Below are 17391 nucleotides of genomic sequence, written 5' to 3'. Positions count from 1 at the left end.
ATATGCTAAGTAGCATTTGAATGTATTCCATTATAACTGAAAAATGCAACAGGCTTGAAGCAGTCCTGTCATTACAAAACTTAAGTTTAGATTCTTATTAAATACTTTAAATTTACAAGAGAGATTTCAAATAAATAGTGCATTTTTACTAAGCTAATAATTATCTGAAAATTTGAACTTTAATTTATAATTACTGAAAATGTTCTAGCTCTTTACTTTTTCTTATAGTGTGATATGCATTTTAAATTATTTTGCATTAACCTTTAAGTATACCATTTTGAAAATATTTCAATTTCAGATTTATGTTAATGCAAGCCCAATATTTAAGGAGTTCTTCATCTATTTCATATTGTATCATTACAATGTTCTTCCTCTATAGAAACAGAATGCATGCATCTTTAATGTAATATTGGTCAGTTCCACACATATGGAACAAAAGGCTGATTGAATGGACGTAGATTCTCAAGGATTTCCTCTCTTCTAAGTGTGACCTTTAAAAGCAATTTACCTCTTTCAGTTCAGTCTTAATGCACTAATTATCATATTACTCTCACTTTATAACATTTTCCTTTTTTATGCTTAACAGTGATTATATTTTCTATAGCAAGTTAAATGGCAGAGAGGAATAAAAGAAGAAAAAATTAACTTTACCACACTTCTCTAAGTCTGCTTTATTAATGTAATGAATATCAGTTTCATGTGCATATATCTATACCTATACTCATAAAATATATATATAGAAATATATTGCCTAAGGAGTTCTTATTTAATGTATGATGAAAATACGGATACAGAAAGGTGTAAAAAATAAATGTACAACTCATGAATCATGATAAGCGAATACCCATATACCATTGCCTAATCAAGAAATAGAACACTCTCTCCCTCCACTTGTTCAAAATTTTTTATAAAGAGAATAAATAAAATGTTCAAGCATACAGTAAGAAGAAAGGAGTAAATGCAATGCTTGATAGCAGAATAGGATGACTGTGCTTAACATGAATATATTGTACTTGGGTGATAGACACCCTAAGTACACTGATTTTATAACTGTGCATTATATACGTGTAACAAATTTTCCCATAAATTTACATGAATAAAAGGACAGAAAAACAGAACATTGATTGCCCCAGAAGCTGCCTCCTGCTCTGATCAATCACCATGTCCAGCCACATTCTAATTCATCACTATGCTGATTTCCAAGACTATTATTTTTGCTTTCTATAATGATATAGGAGTTAAGAAGAAATCACTTAGGCAGATAGTAAGGGTATGGGAGTCCTCAGTAAGGCTTTTCTTTTTAATGAAAAGCAGCCCCAAAACATTTTGTAACAATGAGCAGCCTGTAAAGTTGAGCTGCAGACATAGACAAGCAAGCTGGAAGCTTGCACGGGTGAATGCTGGCAGAAACTAGGGACTAGACATGTTCAAGAAGGCGGTTCCATCTTCTCTTCTCTTTGTCAGCCACGTGTACTGTAAGTAACAGACAAGATGGCACTGATTGGCTAGAAAGCCCATTTGTGTGATAATATTAGGGTGGGACAACCAGGCTTCCCCACACACTATGTAAACATCATACCTGATTGAACCAATCTGTGAGCCCTATGTAAATCAGACATCACCTCCTCAATCTGGACTATAAAATCCAGCAGGTTTGCCACCAGCCAGTCCTTTCTGCTTGGAGGCCCCTTTCTCTATAGAGAAAGCTGTTTCTCTTTCTCTTCTCTTCTGCCTGTTAAACCTCTGCTCCTAAACTGCTTGTGTGTGTCCGTGTCCTAAATTTTCCTGGCATGTGACAACAAATCCCAGAGTACATACCCCAGACAACATGGCCGCTTCATATTGGGGATATCATCCAGGATACCAAGGTACAACATTTATCAAAATGGTGAGTAGAGGAGCAGACTTCAACTCTGTCCCTTCATTCTGAGGCTCTTGGCCTCCATTTTAGAACAAAATCAAACCAAATACTGGGCCCCCTCGGACATTTAAAAACTATTCACGTGGTTGCCAGCCTTACAAGATTTGGGAGACGGGCTTGCTGGGGAGAACATGGGGAGGCTATGGATTGGAGAATCCCCCAATACCCATGAGTTGCTGGGCATATTTGCCATGTTTGAACCAGCTTCCCTTCATGGTGGACTTAGCCATCATGTGGGGCTGGAAGAAGTCCTGGAGCAACTGAGGATTTCTGGCCAGGGCTACCCCTCAGTGTTATCCAAAGGCTTCTGGATTGATCCCAGTCTCCGACTGCCGCAATTGGGTGTCGGCAACAGGATCTCCAACTTTTCTATCATAATTTCCTCTTTTTCTGTCTGTGACTATCATTTCTCTTATCCTCTCTGTGTACGCAATGTGTGGGAAGTTTTACAGTTCAGGGAAGTAATCTTGTTTGGCAAAGATCAGGGAATATCATAGTAAATGGGGATATAGCTCAAGGGAAGGCATCTTTGTAATTTTCTAGGAACAGAGGGTTCCCCTCTCAAGTGAAAGTCTCTCTCTCTGCCGTTGGTCCAGAGAGAACATGGCACTTCTAGGTCTCTCTCTGCCCTTGGTCTGGAAAGCACATGACATTTCCAGGTCTCTCTCTGCCCTTGGTCTGGAGAGCACATAGCATGTCAAGGTCACTCTGCCCTTGGACTGGAAAGCACATGGCATCTCAAGGTCAACAGCATAACCTAGTGGAATAGGGATCCTCTCCATTGTTGGTTCTTTAACAAAACACCCTAGCTTCCCAATTCCCTCCCTTTTTGTACCTGTCTACCAGAAACCAGGCTTTATGCTGTTTCTATGGTTGGAAAACTCTGCCTTCAACAATTAGGAGTAAAATATTCTCTGGAACCAAATTTTAGTCTTGATACTGTCCTATCAGCAGGAAAATAACCATTTGGTCCCTACATTCTTTTAAGGTACCTATTCTGACTGCAATTAGAATGGTACTTAATTAGTAAAGGGATTTTAAGTTCAGAAGTTAACTGGAATCATTCACTAATGGTAAACCCTTTAGCATGAGCCATAATAGAAGGATATAGAGCTCAAACCAGCACACTTTCTCCATTAAGGAGGGAAGTGCAACAGTTGCCCAAATGCAACTGTTACAAAGTCTCTCCCAAGATCCACTTTTCGGGGAGCCACACAGGCCACACAAGTGTAGGAAGTCAAAAGGAAATCATAGGCAGAAGACTAGAGTCACATATGTGAGGGTGAGTAAAACACATCACTTAGTTCCTCTGGTTCCATTGCTGGGGAAGTCACACTCACAACCATTAGAGGCACATTTAACAGGGTGCTGGGACCCCAGGAACCATGGAGGGAAAAGAGCAGGGGGGGACACCTCCACTCTTTTCCTCTCCACCCTGGGACACATCAAAAGGAAGGAGACTAAAGGGATGCCTTTTTCTCACTTCTCTTTATCATCTTTGGCCTCTTCTCCTCTGGAGTGCATCCTGAATCACAGGGTCTCCTTTGACCCTGAGACTTTGAGAAAAAGCAGCTCATTTTCTTCTGCACAAGGGCATGGTCTTCTTAACTTAGCAGGCATTACAAAATCAACCCAGCCGTTTTATCAATCATGTCAAGCAGGTCCAAAGGGAATGATTCCTCAAGACTAGAAAAGAAACTTCTGGAGGAACCATCTGAGAATCCCCCTTATTTGGGATCACCTCAAGTTCCTTTCTCATTGCAGGACTTTAGGCAAATAAAGGGAGACTTGGGCTTATTTTCTGACTACCATGATAGGTATATAGAAGTTTTACAAAGTTAATTTGGGTGTTTCACTGCACATGGAGGGATACTATGTTGCTCCTCCTCAGGGCAGGTAACTGAATAATGGAAGTTGGACTTTCCCGTGATATTCTCATGATAGTGAATAAGTTTGATGAGATCTGTTGGGTTTATCATGGGTTTCTGCTTTTGCTTCTTCCTCATTTTCTCTTGCCACCACCATGTAAGAAGTGCCTTTCACCTCTCACCATGATTCTGAGGCCTCCCCAGCCATATGGAGCCATAAGTACAATTAAACCTCTTTTTCTTCCCAGTCTTGGGTATGTCTTTATTAGCAGCATGAAAATGGAGTAATAAAAAAGGATTAAGCCTATTTTCTCCTTTTGCCTCCCCCAAACCCTCAAACAACAAAGAGGATTTGGGGGCATTACAGGATTTTGCAGGCTATGGATACCTGGGTACGGTGAGATAGCTTCTCCTCCATATCACCTCATAAGAGAAACTCAAGTGGCTAAAACTCATCTTCTAACCTAAGAACTTAAAGTTCAAAAGGCCTTTAACCAGCTAAAGTGGACCCTACTTAAGGCACCAGCTCTCAGCCTCCGTGTAGGAAGGTCCTTCAATCTGTATGTATCAGAAAGAACGGGAATGGCTCTAGGAGTCTGGTACATTTGCCGCTAGCCAGTCCTTTCTGCTCAGAGGCCCCTTTATAGAGAAAGCTGTTTCTCTTTCTCTTCCCTTCTTCCTATTAAACCTCCACTCCTAAACTCTTTGTGTATGCCCATGTGGTAAATTTTCCTGGCATGAGACAACAAACCCCAGGGTATGTACCCCAGATAATGTAGCCACTTCAATAATACTTTGGTAACTGATCATTCAATATTTATTAAGTATGTATATTTTGATGTCTGCTTTTGTTTGTTAAAATACTTGCGCCATGTAGTTATTACATTTAGTAATATTTTATCTATTCAACTATTGTTTGGTATTCCAGTGTAAAATATACCACAATTTATTTATTACTTTAATATCGTTGGACATTTGGAATGTTTCCAGTTTGAGACTTGGTATGTATTGAATTGTGTCTCTCTCAAGCTTATGTGTTGAAATCCTAACCCTCAATATTTCTGAATTTGACTTTATTTGGAAATAGAATTTTTACAAAGGTTATAAAGTTAAAATGAGTTCAATAACATGGGCCTTAATCCAACATGATTGTTATCGTTATAAAAATTGGAAATTTTGAGACAGATCCACACATAGGGAGAATACCATATGAAGATGAAGGCAATGAAGGGGTGGTGCTTCCACAAGCCAAAGAATGACACATAGTTCCAGCAAACCATCAGAAGTTAGGCAAGAGGCATGGAACAGATTCTTTCACAGCCCTCAAAAGGAAGCAATACTGTTCATTCCTTGATCTCAGACTTCAGGCCTCTAGAACTGTGAGACAATATATTTCTGTTGCTTAAGCCATCCAGGTTTTGATACTTGGTATGGCATCTCTAGCAAACTAATACTGGACTATTAAGAATAATGTGACTGCAAACATTTTTGTTTCTTTTATTTTATACATAAACATGAATTTAATTTGGTATATAAATAAAAGTAGAACTGATGTGTTATAGAGAATTTATTAATGTATGCCAAACTTCAGCAGGTAATGCCAAACTGTTTTCAAAGTGAAGGTGACAATTTACTACCAGGAGTGTGGAAGCATTTCAATTTATTCATAGTTTTATTATGAGAAAGTATTCTTAATATATTTAATTTTAGCTATTTTTTATGTGTTTTATAATATAGCATTATGATTTTAATAAACATTTCAATAGTTACTAATGAAGCTAACACCATTTTCTTATTTTAATTGGACATTTCAATACATTCTTTCATGAAGCTCCTTTTTATATTTATTACTCTTTTTTATTGTTTCTTATTTATTAATTTTTGGAATTCTATATATTCAAGAAATAAACCCATTTTCTCATGCATGTCTTCACATGCTTTCTTACTGTCCCTTGCATTATCATTCTCTTAATAGTGTCTTTATGAACAGAGTTTTTAATTTTAATGTGGTCTAATTCATGAAATGTATCTGTGTGTTACACCATAAAAACCACCTTATTTAAGAAAATTTTCCAAACACCAAAATCTTTAAGATAATTCTTTTTGGTAACTTCTAGAATGCATAATATTGTGTTTTTGGCACCTCCTTTTTTTTCAGTACATGATATTGTGGTCAGACTTCATCAGTTTGTATACGGATATCTAAATGGCCCAAAATGGTGTAAGTGCCATAGCTAACATTATGGAAACATCTTGCCAATTTAGAAATACACACACACACACACACACAGACACACACAAATTGAGATTTTTGTTTATAACTAAAATGAACCCACAGATCACCTTGATCAAAATTAATAGCTTTGCAATATTGTGTTTTCCAATCCATGAGCAAGAATTTTCCCACTTTTTTTTAGATCTTTTAACTATTTCTGTGACACCAGTTTTTTTTTTTTTAATTTCTGTAGTTTAGAAGGTACAGGTGGTTTTTGGTTACATGGATAAGATTTTTAGTGGTGATTCCTGAGACTTTAGTGCACCTATCACCCCAGCAGTGTACACTGTACCCAATGTGGAATATTTTATCCCTCACTTCCCCTCCAGCTTTCTCCCCAAAGTCCTAAAAGTCCCGTATATCACTTTTATGCCTTCGCATCCTCATAGCTTAGCTCCCATTTATAAGTGAGAACATACAATATTTGGTTTCCCATTCCTGAATCACTTCACTTAGAATAATGGCCTCCAGCTCAATCCAAGTTGCTGTAAAAGATGATATTTTATTTCTTTTTACAGCCGAGTAGTATTCCTTGGTGTGTATATATTTAACACATTTTCTTTATTGATTCAATCAATGGACACTTAGGTTGGTTCCAAGTCTTTGCAGTTATGAACTGTGCTGCTATAAACATGCATGTGCATGTGTCTTTTTCATATAATGACTTCTTTTCCTTCATGTAGATACCCAGTAGTGAGATTGCTGGATCAAATGATAGTTCTCCTTTTGGTTCTTTAAGGAATTTACATACTGTTTATCATAGTGGTTGTACCCATTTACATTCCCTCAAGCAGGGTAAAAGTGTTCTCTTTTCACCACACCCATGCCAACATCTATAGTTGTTTTGATTATTTAGTTATGATTATACTTGCAGGAGTAAAGTAGTATTTCATTGTTATTTTAATTTGCATTTACCTGATGATTAGTGATGCTGAGCATTATTTCATATGTTTATTGGCTGTTTTACTATCTTTTCTTGAGAAATATCTATTCATGCCCTTTACTTACTCTTTGATGGGATTATTTGTTTTTTACTTGCTGATGTCTTTGAGTTACTTGTAGATTCTAGATATTAGTTCATTGTTACATGCATAGTTTGCAAATACTTTATCCCATTCTGTAGGTTATCTGTTTACTCTGCTGATTATTTCTTTTGCTGTGCAGAGATGTTTTAGTTTAATTAAGTTGCCTTTATTTATTTTTTTTTGTTACGTCTTTTGGGAGGTCTTAGCAATAAATTCTTTGCCTAAGCCTATGTCCAGAAGAGGTTTTTTGATGTTATCTTCTAGTTTTGTAAAACTAGTTTTTGTGTAGAGGTATTTTAAATTTTGTTTGATTTGTTACTGGGAATTCTGTATTTTTCATAATATTGCAAATGCTAACTTATTTTTATCTATTAAAATTATCTGTACACACAAATAAATTTTTAAATATTTAACACAAATTCAGAAAACAAGTTAAAAATCACATATTATCCCTAATGTCTTCTGTATTTTTGAACTTTTTAAGGTAAAAGTCATGTATGTCATTGGTTAATTGTGATTTTTTTTTCAAACTTTAATTTCCTTAATTTGTTTTTCTTGCCTCATTATACTAATTAAAATCTGCAGTGTGATGAGCAGTAGTGTTAATAATGAATAGTCTTTGACTATTTTACCTTAAATAAAAATTTGCTATTGACATTTTACAGACATCCTTAATGAGATGAATGACTTTCTTTCTGATTCCTATTATCTTAATGGTTTTAATCATAATTATATGTGAAATGAGATGTTTTCCCTGCATTTGTTAACACAGTTATTTGGAATATTTAATCTTTGTCCTATTTTTGTTACTTTGCTTTTATTTGTCTAAATTTGAAGCAAACTTTTAATGCAAAAATCTAATTTTGTTTTGATGTGTTATTCATGTGTGTTTGTGTGTGTGTGTTGTTATTCCTTTTATACATTGCCAGATTTAGTTTGACAATATTTTGTTTAGAATTTTTACTGAGCTTGACCTTTAATCTTGGATCCTTATCCCTTATTTCATGTTCCTTTCAGGTTTTGTTGTCAGGGTTATTGACAAAAACAGAACAAAATTGGGCAGTTACTTTTTATCTTATATTCTGTGGAAGAGTTTCTGTGTTTGGCCTCATTTATTCCTTAAGTATTTGAAATGAGTCATGACTGACATTATCTGGCCCCATAACTTTCTTGTGATGCAGGGTTTTTGCTCCTTAAATCAGCTAATATCCAGGTTCTTGTCTCATGACCAGGAAAAATTAGGCAGGTGGACACATTGAAGGGTGAGGAGGATGGATTTATTCAGCAAAAAGAAAGCTCTCAGTAGAGAAAGAGGGGGCCTGCCAGCAGGCTCCCACTTCACAGATTGAATACCAGGCCACCACCCAAAAGTTGAAGAGGCCAGCTCTTCCCCCTGAAAAAGACAAAAATTCCTGATGGCTCCACCTCGTTCTCCCAGTGCACATGTAGGTCCATCGTCCATTGCAGGCATGCCAAAGCAATACCCTGTGCAGGTTCTCTCATCTGTCTCCCGCATCTATCATTCCCTTCTCTAAAGGGGTAGGTCTAACTTCCATTAGCGCAGGGATGAAGACCTATCTTAACTGCTTTCTGCTGACAGGATGCAGTGTTTTGGGAAGGCAACAGTCAGATCTCACTCAGAGGCCTAACTAACTGTCCCAGGGAAAAGGAAGCCCATTGTTTAAGGTTCTAGTTGCATGACCATTTGGAGTTTGATGGCCTGAAAAGAAGAGACAAACTGGGTTATTAGAAAGTATGAATCAAAATGAAAGAAAAAAGGGTGGGTAAGGACAATTCAAAAATCCTAAGGCTCACAACATGTCCAGATAATCGGTGGCTACAGTTGAGCTTGCTAAGATTTCAGTGCATGGAGCTTGGCTTTCGTTACCTCCCTTGGTCTTATTTTCCTAAAAACAAAACTTCTGGGTTATGGGCACCCTATTTACTCCCATCACCTGGCAGGATTTTTGGGATAATTACTCAGAATTAAAATATTAATCCAGATTTTTACATCACCCATCCCTTTTGTTCCTTTTGAGATGCAGCTAAAGATTGATGCTTGGTTCACAGGAATAAGCAGGGTTAGTTTGAGGTGTAGGCAAGAAACTTAAAAGCAACTCATAAGTCTAAAATTCAGTGACAAATGTATAATTTTTAAAACATAATTTGTCTCTCTCCGGTTCTCATTTTTGTTAAAAACCAATCATGATAAGACTGAGTTGTTTGCAAAATAGACTTTAGTCTTATACTTCGCCTAATTATTTGCATAAAGTGCAGGAAGAATAATTATTCTTACATAGGCTTCTTATATTGGCTTTGATGGAATTCTTTTCCACAATGAATCTCAGATCAGACTTTCTAAAGCTGAGCCTAGCCATGGTTTTGTACCCTCAAATACATGAGAGTTGGGTAAACTCCTCTTTTCAAGAGGTCCTAAGAATATTGGGTTCCTGGGCCTGGTAGAAAGTAACATTCTTTACTTACCACTGGTTAGGAGGCCTGTAGGGGGACCATGTGGACAAGATATGAAGCCAGTTTTCCCAAGGGGCTTTTATCGGCTCTGCAAGTTGAGCTTGATTCCTTAAAGTAAAGCATACCCTTCCAGTCAAAGCCTTGGTAAAACAACCAGTTTCTCCAACTGTGGCCTGTTGAAAAGAAAATGAATTCTTATTGCACTGATGCAAACAACTATATTGCCACAAGTCAAGAATACTCACAAATAGTTTCCAAATTCTGGAGAAGCCAGGCAGAAGGAGAAACAAATATGCTTCAAATTTTGTTCACAGGAATATAACTTACTCAATTATTAAAGACCCTAAATAGATCAAAATAAGTCTCCTTGACTCTGAAAAGAAAAACAAGGATGAGCACAAGTCAAAAAAAGATTACCTCCATTTTCTATTAGTTCCATCCATTCAGTTAACTCTTGCTTTGCTCAGTATCTGTGAACATTTCAGCTCTTCATGAATCCTGTATATTTTTCCTTTATTCCAACACCACAATCTCCAAAGTTATCAGAAACCTGCATTTGAGAGCACCTGTCAAATTTTCCAGCTTATTACAAACCACCCTTTGAAGAGAATCAAAGCAAGATGATAATTGTCTGTGAATAACAAAATGTTCAGGGTAGTTACTGTCAAAAACATGACTGACAAATAAATTTGGTGATCTCTGTGGTTTACAATACTTAAAATAATAACCTTAATTGTGATTGATAGCACATACTCAGACTCTACAATTTTAGAAATCCCATAGAGTTTTGGAACATATATTAATATTATTTACTAAAATATAACCTGAAGAGGATTAAACATCGTTTTGGCAATTCCATGTAACTAAACATGTTGAATAATCCTGTTTAACTCTCTTCTGGATGCTATAGGGGCCCTACATAGCATCCAAAACCTAGGGGTTAGGAAAGACAACCTTGAGGCTGAAATTTGATTTCGGGAAGCTCATTAAATGTTAGAGGTTTAAAACACTTGATGTTATGAAATAGAATTCCAGATTACCATAAATTATTTATTTTGCCAAAATTATGACTCAGAAATTTTAAAACAAGATAAAAACCTTACCAAAATGATGACTCAGAAATTTTGAAACAAGACAAAAACCCTTACCCATTAGCTTTCCAAACAATTTATCTCCTGCCTTCTTTTTTTTTTCCTTGGCAGCCTATCTGTGAGGCAAATGGAAATCTTTCATTATCCTTCACTATTAGATGAAAATCTTGTACAAGGGAGAGAAAGCCAAATTTTACCCACACATTAGTTTACTATTAATGTCAACCCTAATTTTCTAATGAAAACTTATAGGCAACTCTATCTAATCTTAACTAGTTTGACCATGGGTAAGATTCTTAAAATCTTTTATAACCCTTTACAAATTTTGCTAAAGAGCTTTTATTTCAATGCTCAATTTATAGAAAAAGCATATATTTTCCTTTCGAATTTAGTCAATGTTTGCACACAGAATTTCTTTGCAAGATTAATTTTTGCAATCCTTCCACAATTTGCTTAAACCTTTAGCTTTATTTTGTGTATTTCAAGCAATCCTCTAACCCTAGGCAAAAATTTACATTTCTGTGGCTTCTTATAATCTTCTACTAAGATTATATAATTAATAATTATTTACTAAGATTAAAGCCTATATTCCTAGGCCTGACCAAGTTGTAAAGTAGGCAAATTGAACACTTCTCAAAGGCAAAACAAACAGTTCACAACCTTAAAACATTGAGCAAACCTAGTATCTGACCTGCATAATTTAGACCACCTATTTACGTTTTATTGACATTCGCATTTTACTAGTAATCTTTAAAACTGTTCTTATTTCTCAAAGATTAGAGTCATACAGGCCAAAAGGAATTACAGCTTTTATTTTTCCTTCAAAAAATATTTGATCTATATGCTTATTTTCCTTTAGGCCAATTATTAGAGCTCTCTTTTATTATAGACACCACACACAGCACATATATAACCACACATACAAACAGAAGCAGATACAGTAGTTATAAGATTTTCTGGTTTCCAATCTCCTAATTGGACTACTGGCCTCTGAGTGGGACCCAGTAAGAGCAGGGCTAGCAAAGCATGCAGTTTCTAGGGCCTAATAAACAGGTATAGCTGGAAGACAAAAACAGATTTTGAGAGGTACCTATCTGCTCTTAATTCCTGGGGTTCCATGAGGAAAACAGAAGTTTCTCCCAAAATGTAATTCATGGCTCCTGTTCTTTCTTCCAAGGGAGTCCCAGGCCATCAGAAATTATCTTAGGGCCTCTCATGCATGCATGAAGAGTTGCAAGGCCAAATGGAGAAAAATAATTTAGTCTACTGAGAAAAAAAAATTTTTTTTTTCCAGCAAAACAAGATCTAAGAAGAGAAAAACAAAAAGGCCTTTTAAATAGACTTATAACTTGGATATCCACTTTTAATTAAGCTGAGTGCTCTTTAAGAAAATCTTCTTAAATCCCTTATTACCCTACTTTAGCCATGCTAAGTGGCCAATATGCCTGGCTTTTGAACTTTACCAAAGGTAACCTCCCAGGTGCTCAGCAAAAGGAAAATTCAAGGTGGTTAGTGGAGGGGAAGATAATCAACAAATGGTAAAGGGCATACAGATCTCAGACCAGAAAGGACTCATTCTCTAAGTAAGGATTGAACCCAGGCTGCCATTGTAAAATGGTGGAGGCTAAAATAAAGCACTGCCATGTAGTTACAGGTTACACTTCCAAGGACATAAAACAAGATGGAGATTTGCAGCTAAGTTTACCAACGACCAGTTTGCCAAGCTGGCTTGGGCAGTGGGCCTATGCATTCCAATCCCCCATCCCATCTTAAGGTTCCCCACTTTTGACCAGTCCACACAGAAAGACATGCAAAGCACCCCAGATTGGCTACAGCTGAAAACTAACCTCACAAATTCTTTTTCATAATTATAACTTTATGGAGAATATAAATGGTGATCCTCATCATTCCCTAGACCGGTTTGAATAGGGGAAGGGAGGCCAAAAGCCTGACTGGTAAGAAAAAAACTTACCTTTTGACAGAATGTCAGACTTCATTCCCTCCCCCTGTTCTCAATCCCAAGCCAACCATTTTAAGGCTTGGGAAATTAACTATTCCCTGTTTGGAGGATATGTCTGAGGGAAGTGTCCTGCAGCATGGGGACATAACCATGCATCTGTGAAAAGAGGACAGAGGAAGAAAAAAGAAAAGGCATTTCTTCAAAGGACTCAGGATGCATTGGAAAGACATGCAGGCTGAAGATGAATGGCTACTCATCTAGAAAGAGGGGAGCAAATGTCCATGGTTCCCTCCTCTTCCTAGCAAATACCCAGGGTACATGAAGGATAGAAAGTGAGGCATCCCTCTTTCTTTCTCCAGTCCTTATATCCTTGAGTCCTGGTGACCATGACAGAGTGCCACCACTCTGTCAAAGCGGTTTTCAACCATGTTTACAGGGGGTCTAGGGGGTGGCATTATCCATTCTTACCCACATATACCCTATCTCCTCTGCTATCAGTAACCTTTGAATTCTGAGACTTGAAATTTAGTTTGGGATAAAAATGTGTCTCAAAGGATAGCACAGACTCCTTATCATAAGCTGAATGGTAAAGTAAAGCTGTGGAATTGAGTCCTCCTTCAACAAGGCGGGGAAGAGTTTGTCTTGTGAATTGGGCTCCTAGCCTAGTAAAACGTCTTATAAGAGAGGGGAAAAAAAAAAAAGCCTCTCACTTAAAAGTTAACTCCTGACCTGGTGAAAAGAAAAAAAACTTCAATGCAGGGCTATGTTAACTGCTGACAGGGTGGAGAAAAGGAATTTAAACAAACAAACAAACAAAAACAGCTTAAATACAGAGCTGTGTTAACTGCTGACAGGGTGAAGAAAAAGAAAAATATGCCTGGGGAAGAAACCTCTTACTCTTATGCAAATGCGTTTCTCCAACAAGGAGAGAAACTTTAAATTGCTGTTTCTTCCCTAGGCTCAGACCAAGACCAAGCTGGACCCCTCAGATGGAGGAAGGGAAGACTCTGTGGGTACATGGCAGGAAATGCTGGTGTATTAGTCTGTTCTCATGCTGCAAATAAAGACATACCTGAGACTGGGTAATTTATAAAGGAAAGAGGTTTAATGGACCCAGAGTTCCACACGGCTGGGGAGGCTGAAGGTGAAGGAAGAGTAAAGGCATATCTTACATGGCAGCAGGCAAGAAGACATGTGCAGGGGAACTCCCCTTTATAAAACCATCAGATCTTGTGAGACTTATGCACTATCACAAGAACAGCACAGGCAAAACTCTCCCCCATGATTCAGTTACCTCCAAGTGGGTCCCTCCTATAACATGTGGGGATTATTACAATCCAAGCTGAGTTTTGCATGGGGACACAGAGCCAAACCATATTAGCTGGCCAGCTGGCAGTGTGGGTCCTGGGCTCTTGAGGCTGCTTTGGGCCTGAGCAGTGGCTGTGGCTCAGTCCCACCCTGCATGGCCATTGGACACCACTAACATATGCAGTGGACAGAGTCATGCTCCGCGGCCAGGAGGGAAGGGTGCAGGAAGCTGCTGCTCACCCATCCATCCCATGCACATGCCTGCAGCCATTGGGGTGGCCACTGAGGGCCAGAACACTGAGGGGTAGAACACCTCTAATATTGTAAAACAAAAGATAGGTGCCATCACAGTCCTGAAAAAAGAAGGAAAATGCCATAGAAAAGGCTGGAGTTGATCGAGGCCAACACTCCCAACTCCCAACAGCAAACGGGAAGGTGGGCCACTGTTTTCTCTACCCTCAGAAGAAGACTGAGGACAAGAAGACTCAGAAACAAAAGGGAAATAAATTTTTTGTTCCACATTTTACTCACTCCACTTCTCGTCCCCATATGGGCCACCAAAAAGATGCAGAATTTTTGTTCCTTAGTTCAGCTAAAATCCGGGTTCTTGTCTTATGACCAGGAAAAATTAGGCACATGGACACACTGAAGGATGAGGAGAGCAGATTCGTTAGGCAAAAAGAACGCTCTCAGCAAAGAAAGAGGGAGTCCTGCCTACAGGCTCCCATCTTACAGATTGACTACCAGGCCACCACAAAAGAGCTGAAGAGGCCTGGCTCCTCCCCATGCATATGGCACTAATTCCCGGTGGCTCCACCCCATTCTGCCCCGTGCACGTGCAGGCCCCCAGTCCACTGCAGGCATGCCCAGCCAAGACCCCATGTAGGTTCCCTTATCAGCCTTCTCCGTCTATCACTTGTGGGAAAGTTTTTAATAATGCATTCAATTTATGTAATATTTCCTATTTTCTTTGGACCATTCAGATTTTCTGGTTTCTTTGTTTGTTTGTTTTTGACAGTGTTTATATAGAAATATGTCCCTTTCATCTCAATGTTCAAATTTACTGATATACATTTTTTCATAATACCCATTTATAATCAATTCAATTTCTAAGAATTACTCTTTTGTTCCATTATGTGTTTTCTTTCCTTTATCTTTTATCAATTTTCCTTGCTCAGGTAATCTTATGTATTTTTGAAGAAACAACTTATATTTTCTTTTTCACAGGCAGGGTCTCGCTTTGTTGCCCAGTCTCTGCTTGAACTCCCAGGCACAAGGGATCCTTCCACCTCAGCCTCCCGAGTAGTTGAGACTGAAGGTGAACCACCATGACCAGCTTAGAAACAACTTTTCAACTGATTTTTCTATTAAATATTAAGTAAAATACCAGTCATTTTATTTGAAAGTATAATGTATGACTGAAAAGAATAGATATTCTCCATCTATTAAATATAATCATAAATATAATGAGGTCAAGTTTGATATTCAAGTCATTTAGTGCTGCTATATCTTAATTTCTGATTTTTATATGCTTCTTAGACCTTACTGCATAATCTATGCTAAAATATTCAACTCTGATAGAGAATTTATTAGTTTTTCTTTTTGCATATCATAAATTTTTGGTGTATGCATACTCAGATTATATTACTAGTTACACAAAATTTAGTTTTGTTTTACTCTATTAATACATTAAACATTTTTTATATATTTGAATTTGTAGTAATAATTTTTGCCTTAAAAATGCTTCTGATCTCGTTATCTCTACAACTTTCTTTTGGTTAACTTTTGTATGGCATATATTTTAACTATCTTTTTACTTGTATCTGCTAAAGAGCACACAGCTGGGTTTTGTTTCCTTTCCTGTTTGAATATTTGTGTCATTCATTTGAAGATCTTATTGCATTTATTTTTAATTACTACTATTTTGAGTATCAAATCTACAGGATTACTAGCTACTGTCTTCTTGTCCTACATGGGTTACTTTTTTACCCTCCTTCTGCATTTTTAAAATTATTTTTTATTATTGCAGTTTTTATCCATGATTAATATGAGAGTTATATATTCTTTCACTATTTTTTTAGATGCTATCCTGGTGATTCTAACATGGAGGCTGAACTTACAAAGTAAACCTTTTATGACACTATTATTATTGAATAATATAAATACATTTTAAAATTTAGTTAAATATATCTTCTCCCTCCTGACCTCACATTATAGTCAAGTTTATTAATTTTTATATACATAAAACCCTCAATGCCTTATTATTATTCAGTCAATAAATATTTATACTTAACAATATTTATTATTTAATTGCCTTACAGTAGTTTCTACATCTTGAAGCTGCTGAATGGTATCACTATTTTTCCTTTCTGAAAAAAATCCTCTGCATTTTTTTAATGTGGATATTTCAGTAATAAGTTTTCCCATTATTTGCCTGAAATGTATATATTTTGCCTTTATCTTTAAAGAACATTTTCATTGGATATAAAGTTTCAGACTGGCAGTTTTCACATGTAACATTACGAAGCTGTCAGTCTAACTGCCGCTTTGTGAAGTCAGTCTTCTCTTTTCACGGAGTTGACTCCTTTACACATTTTATCTTTGTCTTGGGCATTTCTATGTATCTAGGTAGGTATATTATTTGTGGTTGTTGATCATCATTATCACATTATCTTAGTGGCATACAACAAGTGTGTACTCTCAATCAGAGGTCTCCAAATGGTCTGTGCACCTATATTTAATATACTTCTCATCCTCTATGGATAAAGGTCTATTGACAGCATGTATACAATGTCATTCTCTGTGTCTTATAACAGTTTTGATTTAATGTCTATTTGTCTGTTATTAGTATAGCCATGACTGCTTTCTTGGGTTACTGTTTACACAGAAAACCTCTTTCCATTCTCTCACTTTCAACCTATCCATGGCTTTAGATCTAAAGTGCATCTCTTACAGATTGCCAATCTATGTCTTTCAATTGGGGAGTTTAGTTCATTTACGTTTAAATTAATTACTGATAGAAAAACACTTACTTTTGTGATTAACATGCTAAAAACATTTTGTTATTTGTTTTGGTATGTCTTATAAATTCTTTTTCCCTCATTTCTTTCATTACCACCTTTTTTTTGGTTTGTAGTTGATTTTTTGTAGTAACACTTTGATTCCTTTCTAATTTTCTTTTGTGTTTATTCCATAGATGTTTACTTTGTGATTATGTTATTGTTAATATTATATGTCAGCTTGTCTAGCCACAGAAAGCTCAGATAGTTGGTTAAACGTTATTTGGTTAAACAGATAGTTGGTTAAATATTATGATTCATGTGTGTGAGGGTGTTTTTGGATGAGATTAATATGGAAATCCATCAGTGGAGTAAAGAAGGTTGCTCTCCCAAATATGGGTGAGCCTCACCCAATCATTTGAAGAATTGAATACCATAGAAAGCTGATCATCCTCCAAAGAAAAGAGAATTC

General features: G+C 36.8%; 1 annotated feature.

Moving 5' to 3' along the window:
- Window positions 13140–13863: an enhancer, noted in NCBI's record as "NANOG-H3K4me1 hESC enhancer chr14:40934185-40934908 (GRCh37/hg19 assembly coordinates)". NCBI's record gives its function as "activates a minimal SCP1, AML or CMV promoter by ChIP-STARR-seq in naive H9 embryonic stem cells {active_cell/tissue: H9 hESC(naive)}" and the evidence as "EXISTENCE:reporter gene assay evidence [ECO:0000049][PMID:30033119]".

The sequence above is a fragment of the Homo sapiens genome, chromosome 14, assembly GCF_000001405.40.
Source record: "Homo sapiens chromosome 14, GRCh38.p14 Primary Assembly".
Lineage (NCBI taxonomy): Eukaryota > Metazoa > Chordata > Mammalia > Primates > Hominidae > Homo > Homo sapiens.
The sequence above is the reverse complement of the archived record's forward strand: the minus strand, read 5'-3'. Positions and strand labels throughout refer to the sequence as shown.